Genomic DNA, 17,634 nt, shown 5'->3' on the forward strand with positions numbered 1-17,634 from the left:
TTCTTTTCTGCAATGTATTTTTTTCCTAAGAGTAGCATTTATCTGCTTTATAGTATATGTAGTATATGACTCCATTCCAAAAACTTATAAATAGACTCTGCATTCACACATGATACTCTTGTCATAATTCTCAAGCTGTACAAGGTAGGGGGGAACAACTTAGAATAAGTAGTGAGAAGATTAGTAAATGAAACTGATCAACAACTATTAGTAATCTTACTAAGAAGAATAAAAGAGAGTTCAGAAGACTGATGATGGAAGAATATGATTTATTTATTTGAACATAAGAGTGGAAGTCTAAGAAAGATTCTAAATGTATTAAAAAGCACTTTGGAAAAAGAAATGGATGTTACTAAAAGTCAATGTGGATTCACTAAGAATGTATTATGCGAAACCAGTGTTACTCAAACTGGTGTCCCTCAGAATACTAAATGTTAATAGAATGGTGCTGGAATTAAAAAATCTGTTCTATGGCTAAATAAATATGGGAAACAGGTATTTAGCAAAGTATTTGAACACAGAACAATTCTATTTGTGTGTGTGTGTGTGTGTGTATGTGTGTATTACTTATCATTATTCTAGACTAACGGCCTATGAAATATAGTTTTGGTTAACTATAGTTTTAAGTTAATTTTCTTTATTTGTAGAGTTACGAGACTTGTGGAAAGGAAAATAAACAATCATGTTTTATTTTAATTTTTATAAGGAGTTTGAAGAAATTTCATAAATGTAAGATGAAAACATGTCTTCAGGATCACTTAAATATATTGATTCCATAACCCTTAAATAAATTTTGAAAATTTATATATCCCAGAGGCTCCTCAGCCGCATGCCAAGCAGTCAATCGCCTTAGCTCCCGCAGCCTGTGCTCCCAACTCTGTGGCTCCACCCGCTATTGTAGGCCAATAATCTGTTATGGAGCATGCCTTTACCCCGTTGGAGCCCCTGCTTTCCACTGAAGTGCCTTCACCTTCTGCCATAATTGTGAGGCCTCTCCCAGCTACATGGAACTATGGCCGAATAGGAACAGCTCCAGTCGGCAGATCCCAGCATGATCGACCCAGAACACGGGTGATTTCTGCATTTCCAACTGAGCTCTGAAGAGAGCAGTGGTTCTCCCAACATGGTGTTTGAGCTCTGAGAATGGACAGACTGCCTCCTCAAGTGGGTCCCTGACCCCTGTGTAGCCTAACTGGGAGACACTTCCCAGTAGGGGCCGACAGACACCTCATATAGGTGGGTGCCCCTCTGGGAGGAAGCTTCCAGAGGAAGGATCAGCCAGCAATATTTGCTGTTCTGCAACCTCCGCTGGTGATAGCCAGGCAAACAGGGTCTGGAGTGGACCTCCAGCAAACGCCAACAGACCTGCAGCAGAGGGGCCTGACTGTTAGAAGGAAAGCTAACAAACAGAAAGGAATAGCATCAACATGAACAAAAAGGACATCTACACCAAAACCCCATCTGTAGGTCACCAACATGAAAGACCAAAGGTAGCTAAAACCACAAAGATAGGGAGAAACCAGAGCAGAAAAGTTGAAAATTCTAAAAATCAGAGGAGCACCTCCTCTCCTCCAAAGGATCACAGTTCCTCACCAGCAACGGAGCAAAGCTGGACGGAGAATGACTGATGAGTTGACAGAAGTAGGCTTCAGAAGGTTGGTAATAACAAACTTCTCCGAACTAAAGGAGCATGTTTGAACCCATTGCAAGGAAGCTAAAAACCTTGAAAAAAAGGTTAGACGAATGGCTAACTAGAATAAACAGTGTAGAGAAGACCTTAAATGACCTGATGGAGCTGCAAACCATGGCATGAGAACTTCGTGACACATGCACATGCTTCAGTAGCCAATTTGAAAAGTGGAAGAAAGGCTATCAGTGACCAAAGATGAAATTAATGAGATAAAATGAGAAGACAAAGAGGAAAAAGAGTAAAAACAAACGAACAAAGCCTCCAAGAAATATGGGACTATGTGAAAAGACCAAATCTACATTTGATTGGTGTACCTGAAAGTGTCAGGGAGAATGGGACCAAGTTGGAAAACACTCTGCAGGATATTGTCCAGGAGAACTTCCCCAACCTAGAAAGACCTAGAAAGACAGGCCAACATTCAACTTCAGGAAATACAGAGAACACCACAAAGATACTCCTCGAGAAGAGTAAGAGCAAGACACATAATTGTCAGATTCACCAAGGCTGAAATAAAGGAAAAAATGATAAGGGTAGCCAGGGAGGAAGGTCGAGTTACCCACAAAGGGAAGCCCATCAGACTAACAGCGGATCTCTCAGAAGAAACCCTACAAGCCAGAAGAGACTGGAGGCCAATATTCAACATTCTTAAAGAACTAATACATGTTCTAAGATTACATTTACTAATTTAATAAATGTACTAAAATATTAAAAAAAAATTTCAACCCAGAATTTCATATTCAGCCAAACTAAGCTTCATAAGTGAAGGAGAAATAAAATCCTTTACAGACAAGCAAATGCCAAGAGATTTTGTCACCACCAGGCTCAAAATAAAGGGATGGAGGAAGATCTACCAAGCAAATGGAAAGCAAAAAAAAAAAAAAAAAAAAAAAAAAAAAAAGAAGTGGTTGCAATCCTAGTCTCTGTTAAAACAGATTTTGAACCAACAAAGATCAAAAGAGATAAAGAAGGCCATTACATGATGGTGAAGGGATTAATTCAACAAGAAGAGCTAACTATCCTAAATATATATGTACCCAATACAGGAGCACCCAGATTCATAAAGCAAGTCCTTAGAGACCTACAAAGAGACTTAGACTCACACACAATAATAATGGGAGACTTTAACACCCCAGTGGCAGTACTAGACAGATCAATGAGAAAGAAGGTTAACAAGGATATCCAGGGCTTGAACTCAGCTCTGCACCAAGCAGACCTAATAGACATCTACAGAACTCTCCACCCCAAATCAACATAATATACATTTTTCTCAGCACCACATCACACTTATTCCAAAATTGACCACATAATTGGAAGAAAAACACTCCTCAGCAAATGTAAAAGAACAGAAATCACAACAAACTGTCTCTCAGACCACAGTGCAAGCAAATTAGAACTCACGATTAAGAAACTCACTGAAAACTGCACAGCTTCATGGAAACCGAACAACTTGCTCCTGAGTGACTACTGGGTATGTAATGAAATGAAGGCAGAAATAAAGATGTTCTTTGAAACCAATGAGAACAAACACACAACATACCAGAATCTCTGGGACACTTTTAAAGCAGTGTGTAGAGGAAAATTTATAGCACTAAATGCCCATAAGAGAAAGCAGGAAAGATCTCAAATCGACACCCTAACATCACAACTGAAAGAACTAGAGAAACAAGAGCAAACACATTCAAAAGCTAGCAGAAGGCAAGAAATAACTAAGATCAGAGCAGAATGGAAAGAGATAGAGACACAAAAAACCCTTAAAAAATCAATGAATCCATGAGCTGGTTTTTTGAAAAGATCAACAAAATTGATAGTTAGCAAGACTAATAAAGAAGAAAAGAGAGAAGAATCAAATAGATGCAATAAAAAAGGATAAAGGGGATATCACCACCGATCCCACAGAAATACAAATTACCCTCAGAGAATACTATAGACATCTCTACGCAAATAAACTAGAAAATCTACAACAAATGGATAAGTTCCTGGACACATACACCCTTCCAAGACTAAACCAGGAAGAATTTGAATCTCTGAATAGACCAAAAACAGGCTCTGAAATTGAGGCAATAATTACAACCATAAAAAGTCCAGGAACAGATGGATTCACAGCCGAATTCTACCAGAGGTACAAAGAGGAGCTGGTACCATTCCTTCTGAAACTATTCCAATCAATAGAAAAAGAGGGAATCCTTGCTAACTCATTTTGTGAGGCCAACATCATCTTGATACCAAAGCCTGGTAAAGACACAACAAAAAAAGGGAATTTTAGACCAACATCCCTAATGAATATAGATGAGAAAATCCTCAAGAAAATACTGGCAAACTGAATCCAGTAGCACATCAAAAAGCTTATCCACCACAATCAGGACTGCTTCATCCCTGGGATGCAAGGCTGGTTCAAAATACACAAATCAATAAGCATAATCAATCACATAAACAGAACCAATGACAAAAACCACATGGTTATTTCAATAGATGCAGAAAAGGCCTTCGACAAAATTCAACAGCTCTTCATGCTAAAAACTCTCAATAAACAGGGTATTGATGGGACGTATCTCAAAATAATAAGAGCTATTTATGACAAACCCACAGCCAATATAATACTGAATGGACAAAAACTGGAAACATTCCCTTTGAAAACCGGCACAAGACAAGGATGCCCTCTCTCACCACTCCTATTCAACATAGTGTTGGAAGTTCTGGACAGGGCAATCAGGCAAGAGAAAGAAATAAAGTGTATTCGATTAGGAAAAGAGGAAGTCAAATTGTCCCTGTTTGCACATGACATGATTGTATATTTGGAAAACCCCATCGTTTCAGCCCCAAATCTCCTTAAGCTGATAAGCAACTTCAGCAAAGTCTCAGGATACAAAATCAAAGTGCAAAAATCACAAGCATTCTTATACACCAATAACAGACAAACAGAGAGCCAAATCATGAGTGAACTCCCATTCACAATTGCTAAAAAGAGAATAAAATACCTAGGAATCCAACTTACAAGGGATGTGAAGGACCTCTTCAAGGAGAACTACAAACCACTGCTCAATGAAATAAAAGAGGACACAAACAAATGGAAAAACATTCCATGCTCATGGATAGGAGGAATTAATATCGTGAAAGTGGCCATACTGCCCAAGATAATTTATAGATTCAATGCCATCCCCATCAAGATACCAATGACTTTCTTCACAGAATTGGAAAAAACTACTTTAAAGTTCATGTGGAACCAAAAAAGAGCACGCATTGCCCAGACAATCCTAAGCAAAAAGAAAAAAGCTGGAGGCATCATGCTACCTGACTTCAAACTATACTACAAGGCTACAGTAACCAAAACAGCATAGTACTGGCACCAAAGCAGATATATACACCAATGAAACAGAATAGAGGCCTCAGAAATAGCACCACACATCTACAACCATCTGATCTTTGACAAACCTGACAAAAACAAGAAATGGGGAAAGGATTCCCTATTTAATAAATGGTGCTGGGAAAACTGGCTAGCCATATGTAGAAAGCTGAAACTGGATCTCTTCCTTACACCTTATACAAAAATTAATTCAAGATGGATTAAAGACTTAAATGTTAGACCTAAAACCATAAAAACCCTAGAAGAAAACCTAGGCATTACCATTCAGGACACAGGCATGGGCAAGGGCTTCATGTCTAAAACACCAAAAGCAATGGCAACAAAAGCCAAAATTGACAAACGGGATCTAATTAAACTAAAGAGCTTTTGCACAGCAAAAGAAACTACCATCAGAGTGAACAGGCAACCTACAGAATGGGAGAAAATTTTTGCAATCTACCCATCTGATGAAGGCCTAATATCCAGAATCTACAAAGAACTCAAACAAATTTACAAGAAAAAAACAACTCCATCAAAAAGTGGGCAAAGGATATGAACAGGCACTTCTCAAAAGAAGACATTTATGCAGTCAACAGACACCAGAAAAAATGCTCATCATCACTGGCCGTCAGAGAAATGCAAATCAAAACCACAGTGAGATACCATCTTGTGCCAGTTAGAATGACAATCATTAAAAAGTCAGGAAACAACGGATGCTGGAGAGGATATGGAGAAATAGGAACACTTTTACACTGTTGTTGGGAGTGTAAATTAGTTCAACCATTGTGGAAGACAGTGTGGTGATCCCTCAAGGATCTAGAACTAGAAATATCATTTGACCCAGCAATCCTATTACTGGATATATACCCAAAGGATCACAAACTATGCTACTATAAAGACACATGCACACGTATGTTTATTGCAGCACTATTCACAATAGTAAAGACTTGGAACTAACCCTAATGTCCATCAATGATAGACTGGATTAAGAAAATGTGGCACATGTACACCATGGAATACTATGCAGCCATAAAAAGGATGAGTTCATGTCCTTTGTAGGGACATGGATGAAGCTGGAGACCATCATTCTCAGCAAACTATCACAAGGACAGAAAACCAAACACTGTATATTCTCAGTCGTAGGTGGGAATTGACCACTGTGATCAGTTGGACACAGGGCGGGGAACATCACACACAGGGGCCTGTCAGGGGTGGGGCCTGGGGGAGGGATAGCATTAGGAGATATATCTAATGTAAACAACGAGTTGATGGGTGCAGCAAACCAACATGGCACATGTATACCTATGTATCAAACCTGCACATTGTGCACATGTACCCTAGAAGTTACAGTATAATAAAAAAACATTAAAAAGAGACAATTTATATATCCCTTCACACATCTTTAACACCAAACCTTATTCATTATTAATTAAAATTTAAATTATTTTTAAATTTTTTGGTTTTTTATTTATTTTTTATTTGTGTGGGTACATAGTATGTGCATATATTTATCGGTTACGTGATATATTTTGATACAGACATGCAATGCATAATAATCATATTGGTGTAAATGGGGTATCCATCACCTCAAGTATTTATCCTTTGGTTACAAGCTATCCAATTATACTCTTTCAGTTTTTGAAAAAGGTATAATTATTTTTTACCATAGTCACACTGTTGTGCTAGCAAATACTAGGTCTTATTCATTCTTTCTGTTTTTTGAACCCATTAACCATCCCAACTTCTCTCTGTCTAGCCACTACCCTTCCCAGCATCTGGTAACCATCATTCTAGTTTTTATCTTCATGAGTTCAATTGTTTTAATTTTTAACACCCACAAATAAGTGAGAATGTGTGATGTTTGTCTTTCTGTGCCTGGCTTATTTTATTTAATATAATGACCTACAGTGCCATCTATGTTGTTGCAAAGGAAAGGATCTCATTCTTTTTTATGACTGAATAGTAGTCAGTTGTGTATATGTACTACAATATCTTCATTCATTTGTTGACAGACCCTTAGGTTGCTTCCAAATCTTGGCTATTGGGAATAGGGCTGTAATAAACATGAGAGTACAGATATCTCTTCGATATACTGATTTCCTTTCTTTTTGGCTATATACCTAGGAGTGGGATTGCTGGATCATATGGTAGCTCTATTTTTAGTTTTTTGAGGAACTTCCAAACTGTTCTTTATAGTGGTTGTACTCACTTACATTACTACCAACAGTGTATGTGGGTTCCCGTTTCTCCACATCCTTGCCAGCATCTGTTATTGCCGGTCTTTGGATAAAAGCCATTTTAACTGGGGTGAGATGATATATCATTGCGGTTTTGATACGCATTTCTCTGATGAGCAATGATGTTGAGTGTCTTTTCATATATCTGTTTATCATTTTTATGTCTTCATTTGAGAAATCTCTATTCAAATCTTTTGTCTATTTTTGAATTGGATTATTAGGCATTTTCCTACAGAACTGTTTGAGCTCCTTATATATTCTGGTTATAAATTCCTTGTCAGATGGTGACATGGTTTGGTTCTGTGTCCCCACCCAAATCTCATGTTCAATTGTAATTCCCAATGTTGGAAGTGGGGCCTGGTGGCAGGTGAATTGGTCATGGGGTGATTTCTCATGGTTTAACTCCGTCCCCATTGGAGCTGTTGTTGTGATAATGAATTCTTGTGATATCTGGTTGTTTAAAAGTGTGTGGCACCCCCCACCCCAAGCTTCCTTGGTCTTGCTCCTGCCATGTAAGACACCTGTTTCTGATTTGCCTTCTGCCATGAGTAAAAGCTCCCTGAGGCCTTCCCAGAAGTAGATGCTGCTATGCTTCCTGTATGCCTGCCTGTGTATATGTACCACAATTTCTTTATCCATTAATAAGCCAATTAAACCTCATTGCTTTATAAATTATCCAGTCTCAGGTATTCTTTATAGCAGTGTGTGAATTGGCTAATATGACAAATTGGTATCAAGGAGTGTGGCATTGCTATAAAGATACCTGAAATTGTAGAAGTGGAACTGGGTAATGGGAACTGGGTAATGGGCAGAGGTTGGAAGAGTGTGGAAGGCTCAGAAGAAGACAGGAAGATGAGGGAAAGTATGTAACTTCCTAGAGACTGGTTGAATGGTTATGACCAAAATGCTGATAGTGATATGGACAGTGAAGGCCAGTCTCAGGAGGTCTCAGATGAAGATAAGAAACGTATTGGTCACTTCTGTTATGAGATGATTTAGGGTATCTGATGGAAGAAATTTCTAAGCAGCAAAGAAATGAACTGAAACTGGAACTTATATTTAAAAGGGAAGCAAAGCATAAAAGTTTGGAAAATTTGCAGCCTGGTCATGTGGTAAAAAAGAAAAGGCCATTTTCAGAGGAGGAATTCAAGCTGGCTGCATAAATTTGCATAACTAAGAGAAAAGCAAGTGCTGATAGCCAAGACAATGAAAAAAAAAATGCCTTGAAAGCATTTCAGAGACTTGCTTGGCAGCTCCTTCCATCACAGGCCTGGAGGCCTAGGAGGGAAGAATCATTTCCTGAGCCAGACCCAGGGCCCCGCTGCCCTGTGCAGCCTCAGGAGACTGCTTTCTGTATCCCAGCTGCTCCAATCCCAGCTATGGCTTAAAAGGGGCCCAGATGCAGCTTGGGTCACTGCCTCAGAGGGTGAAAGCCATAAGCCATGGTGGCTTCCATGTTGTATTAAGCCTGTGGGTGTGCAGAGTACAACAGTTGAGGCTTGGGAGCCTACATCTGGATTCCAGAAGATGTATGGAAAAGCTTGGATGCCCAGGCAGAAGCTGCTGCAGGGGTGGAGCCCTCATGGAGAACCTCTGCTAGGGCAGCATGGAGGGGAAATGAGGGGTTGGAGCAGTGTTGCACCAGTGTGCCCTGGATGTGAGACATTGGTGTCAAAGATTATTTTGGAGATTTAAGATGTAATAAATTTCTTTCTGGGTTTCAGACTTGTGTGGGGCCTGTAGTCCCTTATTTTGGATGATTTCTCCCTTTTGAAACAGGAGTGCTTATTAAATGCCTATATTGCTGTTGTATCTTGGAAGTAACTAACTTGTTTTTTATTTTACAGGCTCTTAGGTGGAAAGGACTTGCCTTGTCTCAAATGAGACTTTGAAATTTGGACTTTTGAGTTAATGCTGGAATGAGTTAAGACTGTGAGGGCCTGTTGGGAAGGCCTGATTGTATTTTGCAGTTTGAGAAAGAAATGAGTTTTGGGAGGGGCCGGGGTGGAATGATATGGTTTGGATCTTTGTCTTCACCCAAGTTTCATATTCAATTGTAATAGCCAATGTTGGAGAAGGGGCCTGATGGGAGATGACTGGATTATGGGGGCAGTTTCTCATGGTTTAATACCATCCCTCCTGGAGCTGTCATCACAATAGTAATTATTGTGAGAACTGGTTGTTTAAAAGTGTATAGTACCTTCTGCCCCCTTGCTCCTGCTCTGGCCAAGTAAGACATGCTTGCTTCCCTTTTGCCTTTCTCAATAATTGAAAGTTTCCTGAGACCTTCCCAGAAACTGAGCAGATGCCAGAATCATGCTTCCTGTATGGCCTTCAGAACTGTGAGCCAATTAAACCTCTTTTAAAACAAATTACCCCGTCTCACATATTTCTTTATAGCAGTGTTAGAACTGAGTAATGCAGGTGGGTAGTTTACAAATATTTTCTCCCACTGGGTGGGTTGTCTCTTCATTTTATTGATTTTTTTTTTTTGTTTTGCTTTGTTTTGTCTTTGTTTTTGTTTTTTGCTGTGCAGAAGCTTTTTAACTTGATTTGATATCATCTGTCAACTTTTGCTATGGTTTCCTATGCTTGTGGGTTATTACTCAAAGAGATCTTTGCCTAGTCCAATGTCCTGGAGAGTTTCCCCAATGTTTTCTTTCAGTAGTTTCTTAGTTTTATACCTTAGGTGAAGTCTTTAATCCATTTTGAATTGATTTTTCTATGTGGCAAGAGAGCGGGACCTAGTTCCATTCTTTTGAGAATGAGTATCCAGTTTTCTCAACACCATTTATTAAAGTGACTTTCTTTTCCCCAGTGTATGTTTTTGGCACCTTTGCTGAAAATGAGTTCACTTTAGGTGTGTGAATTTGTTTCTGGTTTCTCTATTCTGCTCCATTGGTCTGTGTGTCTGTTTTTATGGTGTTACCATGCTGTTTTAGTTACTATAGCTCCGTAATATAATTTGAAGTCAGGTATGTGATTCCTCCAGTTCTGTTCTTTTTCTTAGAATAGCTTTGGCTATTCTGGGTTTACTGTGGTTCCATACAAATTTTTAGATTTTTGTTCTGTTAAGAATGTCATTGTTACATTGACAGATATTACATTGAATTTGTAGATTGCTTGGGTGCTATGAATATTTTAACAATATTAATTCTTCCCATTCATGATTGTGGAATACCTTTCCAATTTTTTCTTTTCTTCAATTTCTTACATCAATGTTTTATAGTTTTTATTGTAGAGATCATTCACTTCTTTGATTAAGTTAATTCCCAGTTATTTTATTTTATTTGTAGCTACTGCAAATGGGGTTACTTTCTTGACTTATTTTTCAGATTGTTTTCTGTTGCCATATGGAAATGCTAGCAGTTATTATATGTTGATTTTGTATCCTGCAACTTTACTGAATTTGTATATTAGTTCTAATAGCTCTTTGGAGGAGATTTTAGGTTTTATCAAATATAAGATTACATCATCTGCAAACAAGGATAATTTTATTTTTCTTTTCCAATTTGGGTACCCTTTATTTGTTCCTCTTTTCTGATTACTCTAACTAGGACTTCCAGTACTATGCTGAATATCAATGGCAAAAGTTGGCACCCTTGTCATGCTCTTGATCTTAGAGAAATGACTTTCAGTTTTTCCTCATTAAGTATGATACTAACTATGGGTCTGTCATACATGGCTTTTACTATGTAAAGGTATGTTGCTTCTATTCCCAGTTTTTTTAGGGTTTTTATCATGAAGGGATGTTGGATTTTTTTCAAATGCTTTTTTAGCATCAATTGAAATAATCATATGATTTTAGTCTTTCATTCTCTTTATATGATGTATAACAATAATTGATTTGCATATCTTGAACTATCCTTCAATTAATGGGATAAATCCTACTTGGTGATCATGAATGATATTTTTAATGTGTGATTGAATTCAGTTTGGAAGTATTTTGTTGAGTATTTTTGTGTCAATATTCAACAAAGATATTCACCTATAGTTCTCCTTTTTTGATGTGTCTTTGTTTTTTTGTATCAGAGCAATACTGGCCTCATAGAATGAATTTAAAAGTGTCCCCTCTTCTTCTATGTTTCACAATAGTGTGAGTAGGTTGGTATTAATTCTTCTTTATATGTTTGGTGGAATTCAGCAGTGAAACCATTGGGTGCCAGGCTTTTCTTTACTAAAAATCTTTCTATTACGGCTTCAATCTCATTAGTTGTTACTGATCTGTCCAGGTTTTGGATTTATCCATGGTTCAACCTTGGTAACTTGTATTTGTGTAGGAATTCATCCATTTCTTCTAGATTTTCCAATTGGCATATGGTTGCTTACAGTAGCCACTAATGATCCTTTGAAATTCTTCAGTATCAATTGAAATGTCACATATTTCAACATTGATTTTATTTGGGTCTTCTCTCTTTTTCAGAATTAGTTTGACTAAAGGTTTGTTAATTTATCTTTTCAGAACACCAACTTTCTGTTTCATTGATCTTTTGTATTATTTTGTTCATTTCATATTTATTAATTTCAGCTCTGATATCATTTCTTTGAATAATTTTGTGTTTTGTTTGCTCTTGCTTTTCTAGTTCTTTGACTTTAATTTTAATTTTTTAATTTTTAATTTTTTGGGTACATAGTAGGTGTATATATTTATGGGGTACATGAGATGTTTTGATATAGGCATGCAATGTAAAATAAGCACATCTTTACAATAAATTATTAGGTTGCTTATTTGAAGTATTTTTTTATGTAGCACTTACAGCTATACACTTCCATCTTAGTAGTGCTTTTGCCGTATCTCATAGATTTCGGTATGTTGTGTTTACATTATCGTTTGTTTCAACCAATTTTTATATTCCCTTCCTAATTTCTTTACTGATCCACCGGTCATTCAGGAGCATATTGTTTAATTTCCATGTGTTTTTATAATTTCCTAAATTTCTCTTGTCATTGATTTATAGTTTTATTCCATGTGGTTAGAGAAGATGCTTGATATTATTTCAATATTTTTAAAAATTTTTAAAGACTTGTTTTGTGACTGTACATATGGTCTATCCTTGAGAATGATCCATGTGCTGAGAAGAATGTGTATTCTGCAGCCACTGGATGAAATGTTCTGTAAATTTCTGTTAGTTCACTTTGGTCTATAGTGGAGATTATTTCTAATGTTGCTTTGTTGATTTTCTTTCTGGAAGAGCTGTCCAATGCTGAAAGTCGGGTGTTTGATGTCTCCAGCTATTATTGTATTGGGGCATCTGTCTCTCTTTAGCTCTAATAATATTTGTTTTATATATCTGGGTATTCCAGTGTTGGGTGCATTTACATTAAAAATTGTCATATTTTCTGACTGTATTGACACTTTCATCATTATAGAGTGTCTTTCTTTGTTCCTTCTTATAGAATTTTTTTCTTGAAATTTATTTTGTCTGATATTAGTGTAGCTACTCTTCCTCTTTTTTTGTTTCCATTGGTATGGAATATATTTTTATATCTTTTTGTTTTCGATCCATGTGCACCTTTGTAGGGGAAGTGTGTTTCTTGCAGGCAACAGATAATTGGGTATTTTTTAAATCCATTCAGCCAGTCTATGTGTTTTCACTTGAGCATTTAGTTCATTTCTGGTCAGTGTTATTGTTGATTGTAAAGATTTACTCCTGCCATTTTATTATTTGTTTTCTGGCTGATTTGTGTTTCCTCTTTCTTCTTTCCTTCCTTCCTGTCTTTCTTTTATTAAAGGTGATTTTCTTTGATTGTATGATTTAATTTCTTGCTTTTTTGTGTATCTATTGTATGCTTTTTGATTTGAGGTTACCATGAGGCTTACAACCTTACAAGAGGTTACTATCTTATAACCCATTATTTTTAGTTAGAAACTTTACACTGTTTGAATAAAAAACCTAACAAGCAAGCAAAAAGAAAATTATTAAAAACCATACATATTAACTTCATTCCTTTTTTTTAACTTTTTGTTGTTTCTACTTATATCTTATTGTACTGTCTATGTCTTGAAAAGTTGTAATTATTGTTTATTTTTCCTTTTTTGAGACAGAGTCTCACTCTGTCACCCAGGCTGGAGTGCAGTGGCAAAATCATGGCTCACTGCAATCTCTGCCTCCTGGGCTCAAGCAATCCTCCCACCTCAGCCTCCTGAGTAGCTGGGACTACAGGCATGTGCCACTGTGCACAGAATATTATTATTATTATTATTATTATTATTATTATTATTATTGTTATTGTACTGATGGGGTTTTGCTACACTGCCCAGGCTGGTCTCGAACTCCTAAGCTCAAAAGATCCACCAGCCTTGGCCTCCCAAATTGCTGGGATTACAAGCGTGAGCCATTGTGCCCAGCCAAATGTTGTAATTATTGTTTTTGACTGGTTCATCATTTAGTCTTTCTACTTTTTTTATATATATATACTTTAAGTTTTAGGGTACACGTGCACAACGTGCAGGTTTGTTACATACGTATACATGTGCCATGTTCGTTTGCTGCTCCCATTAACTCGTCATTTACATTAGTTATATCTCCTAACGCTATCCCTCCCCCCTCTCCCCACCCCACGACAGGCCCTGATGTGTGATGTTCCCCTTCCTGTGTCCAAGTGTTCTCATTGTTCAATTCCCGCCTATGAGTGAGAATATGCGGTGTTTGGTTTTTTGTCCCTGCGATAGTTTGCTGAGAATGATGGTTTCCAGCTTCATCCATGTCCCTACAAAGGACATGAACTCATCCTTTTTTATGGCTGCATAGTATTCCATGGTGTATATGTGCCACATTTTCTTAATCCAGTCTATCATTGATGGACATTTAAGGTAAGAGTAGTTTACACACCACAGTCACAGTGCTACAATTTTTTTTCCTGTGTACTCATTATTACCAGTTTACTTTGTATTTCAGATGATTTCTCATGGCTTATTAATGTTCTTTTATTTCTGACTGAAGTCCTCCTTTTAGCATTTCTTGTGGGACAGGTCTGGTGTTAATGAAATCTCTCAGCTTTTGTTTGTCTGGGAAAGTCTTTATTTCTCTTTTATGTTTCAAGGATATTTTTGCTGAATATACTATTCTAGAGTAAAAGTTTTCTTCTTCCAGCACTGCTGGACTGTAAGGTTTCCACCAAAAAGTCTGCTGCCCGAGAGTCTCTCTTTCTCTACCTATTCTTGAAAGCCAATAACTGTGTTAAGATTTTCCCCTTTGATGCTATTTTCTAGATCCTGTAGGTGTACTTGTTTTTTATTGTTTTTTATTTTGTCTCCTCTGGCTGTGTGTTTTCAAATAGAATATTTTCAAATAGCTCTACCTATTTGTCTCTACCTACCCCCAGCCCCTGGAAGCCACTGATGTTTTTACTGTATCCATAGTTTTGCCTTTTCCATAATGTCCCATAGTTGGAATCATACGGTATGTAGCCTTTTCAGACTAGCTTATTTCACTTAATAGTAAGGATTTAAGTTTCCTCTATGTATTTTCATGGCTTAATAGCTCACTTCTTTTCAGTATCTAATAATATTTCATTTTTGGATGTACCACAGTTAATCTATTCATTCATGTACTGAAGGACATCTTATTTGCTTCCAAGTGTAGGCAATTGTGAATAAAGCTGCTATAAACATCCATGTGCTTGTTTCTGTAGACATAAGTTTTTAACTCCTTTGGAGAAACACCAAGCAGCATGATTGCTGGGTAATATGGTATGAGTATGCTTCATTTTGTAAGAAACCACCAAACTGACTTCCAAAGTGGCTGGGCCATTTTGCATTTCCACCAGCAATGAATGATGTTCCTGTTGCTATACATTCTCACCAGCATTTGCTGTTGTCAGTGTTCTGGATTTTGGTTATTCTAATAGTTGTGTAGTGGTATCTCATTGTTGTTTTCATTTACATTTCCATCATGACATACGAAGCTGAGCATCTTTTCAAATGTATATTTGCCAGCTGTATAACTTCTTTAATGAGGTAGGTGTTGCTTAAGATCTTTGGCCCATTTTTATTTGGTTGTTTGTTTTCTTATTGTTGAGTTTTAAGTATTTGTATATTTTCTTATTGTTGAGTTTTAAGTATTCGTATATTTTGTATATTTTGTTATTTGTATATTTTGTAAAACTGTCCCTTATCGGATATGTCTTTTGTAAACATTTTCTCCCAGTCTCTGGCTTCTCTTTTTATTCTCTTGACAGTGTCTTCTGCAGAGCTGAACTTTTAAATTTTATTTGGTAACAGATTTATTAAAGTATAATTCATATATTATACAATTTATTCCTTTAAAGGGTACAATCTAATAGTTTTTATCTGCACTATATTCAGTTATGTAATCATCACCACAACCAATTTTAGGACATTCTCACGACCCCATAAATAAACCCCATACCCTTTAGTTCTCACCTCCCAACCCCTCTATTCTTCCCAAACCCTCACCACCAGCCTCTAGCAACTACCAATCTACTCTCTATCTAAATAAATTTTCATATTCTCTGTAAGAAATTTGTTAATTTTAATGATGTTAAGGTTACGGATTATTTCTTTTATGGACTGTGGTTTTGGTGTTTTATCTAAAATGTCATTGTTAAACTCTGAGTCACCTAGATTTTCTCCTATGGTATCTTCTAGGAGTTTTATAGTTTTGCATTTTAAATTTAGGTCAGTGATCCATTTTGAGTTAATTATTGTAACGGGTGTAAAATCTCATGTCTAGACTCATTTTTTTTTACATGCAGGTATCCAGTTATTCCAGCACCATTTGTTAAAAGAACTACCTTATTAGCTCAATTGCCTTCATTATTAAAGGTCAGTTGACTGTATTAATGTAGGTCTATTTCTAGGCTCTCTAGTCTATTCCCTTGATCTATTTGTTCTTTCACCAATACCACACTGTCTTGATTTCTGTAGCTTTATAGTATGCCTTGAAATTGGGTAGTGTCAGTCCTCCAACTCTGTTCTTTTCCTTCAATATTGTTTTATTTATCTTAAATGGTATGTTTAAACATTTTTATTTCCCATGTCTGTTACTAATATGTTCAAATACCATTCTATTTACATATTGATCTTGCAGGCAGTTATCTTGCTCAAACAATTTATTATTTAAAATAGTTTATTAGATTTTCTTTTGTATTTTCTACATACATGTGTATTATTTACAATTGGTTACATTTAAATTTATTCCCTTCCAAAAATTATAACTTTATTTTATTTTTCTTCTTTTATATTGCCTAGAATATCTAGCACTATGTTGAGTAGAAGAGGTAATAGCAGGTATTCATGTTTCATTCCCATTGTCACAGGAAGAAGTTTAATATTTCACCACTAAGTATACTGTTTGCTTTAGCTTTTTATATACATCTTTTATCAGATTAAAGAGGCTCTTTTTATTTCTAGTTTGCTAATTTTCAATCATGAAGGGAAGCTGAATTTATCACATTACTTTTCTTCATCTATTGAGATGATCATGTGATTTTTCTTCTTTCTTAAGTTAATGAGGCACATTACATTGATTGCTTTTCAAGTGTTGAACCAACCCTGAATTCTTAGTGTTGGGAAAGGCAATCTTGTGTATGCAGTCTTTTGACCCCCACATGGCCATTTAAAATAGGCATTGGGACTAAAATATTTCCTTAGCAAGAGATAAGCAGCCTACACACCCTGTTCCAGGCTAGAAATATTTTTCTGTTTCAGACTTACTAAGTGTTCTTTTGTTTTACTAAGTGTATGCATCCATGGCTCTCAGACATGTCCTAGCTTTCTGTCTTTCAGACTGGGTTGGTGTGGGTGTGGATAAGGGTCCTTTTTCTAAGGCACAAGAAGGGTGTGCTTATCCAGTTGCTCTGTGTTTGTTGCTAGGGGGTACCGTCTAGCCATGGAGGGTACCAACACACACTATTGAAGCTGATTGTGCTCTGTTTTTTTTCTATATAAGTAAAGTGTTGTTTCATCCAGGGCTTGACTGCATTATGTTCTCCTTCATGACTCTGATAAAGCGATGCAATGGGCATATGTGATTAGAGTCAATTCCTGGGATTAGCAAGTGATGCCCAGTGTTCTGCTTAACAATTAGAATAACCCAACTTGGTCATAAAGTACTATCCTTTTTATATACTACTGGATTTGGTTTGATACTACTTAGTTTAGTAACTTTGCTTCTATTTTTCAAGAGATGAGATTGGCCTGTGTATTTCTTTTCTTGAAATGTACTCATCAAGCTTTGGAATGAACACTAAGCTGCCCTTGAAATGATTGAGAAATATCCTTTTTCTTCTATTATATTGAAGAATATGGGTAAAATTGGCATTATTTATTCTTTAAATGTTTGGTAAATTTTGCCAATGAAACAACCTGGGCCTATAGTTTACTTTGTGGGAAGGTTTTTATT

General features: G+C 36.6%; 1 protein-coding gene across 3 annotated transcripts in view; it reads right to left on the minus strand.

Moving 5' to 3' along the window:
- HMGN5 (high mobility group nucleosome binding domain 5) overlaps window positions 1–17,634 on the minus strand; it is an 88,215-nt gene that overhangs the window by 61,112 nt on the left and 9,469 nt on the right. The window lies entirely within an intron of this gene.

Source organism: Homo sapiens, chromosome X (genome assembly GCF_000001405.40).
Source record: "Homo sapiens chromosome X, GRCh38.p14 Primary Assembly".
NCBI classification, from domain to species: Eukaryota; Metazoa; Chordata; class Mammalia; order Primates; family Hominidae; genus Homo; species Homo sapiens.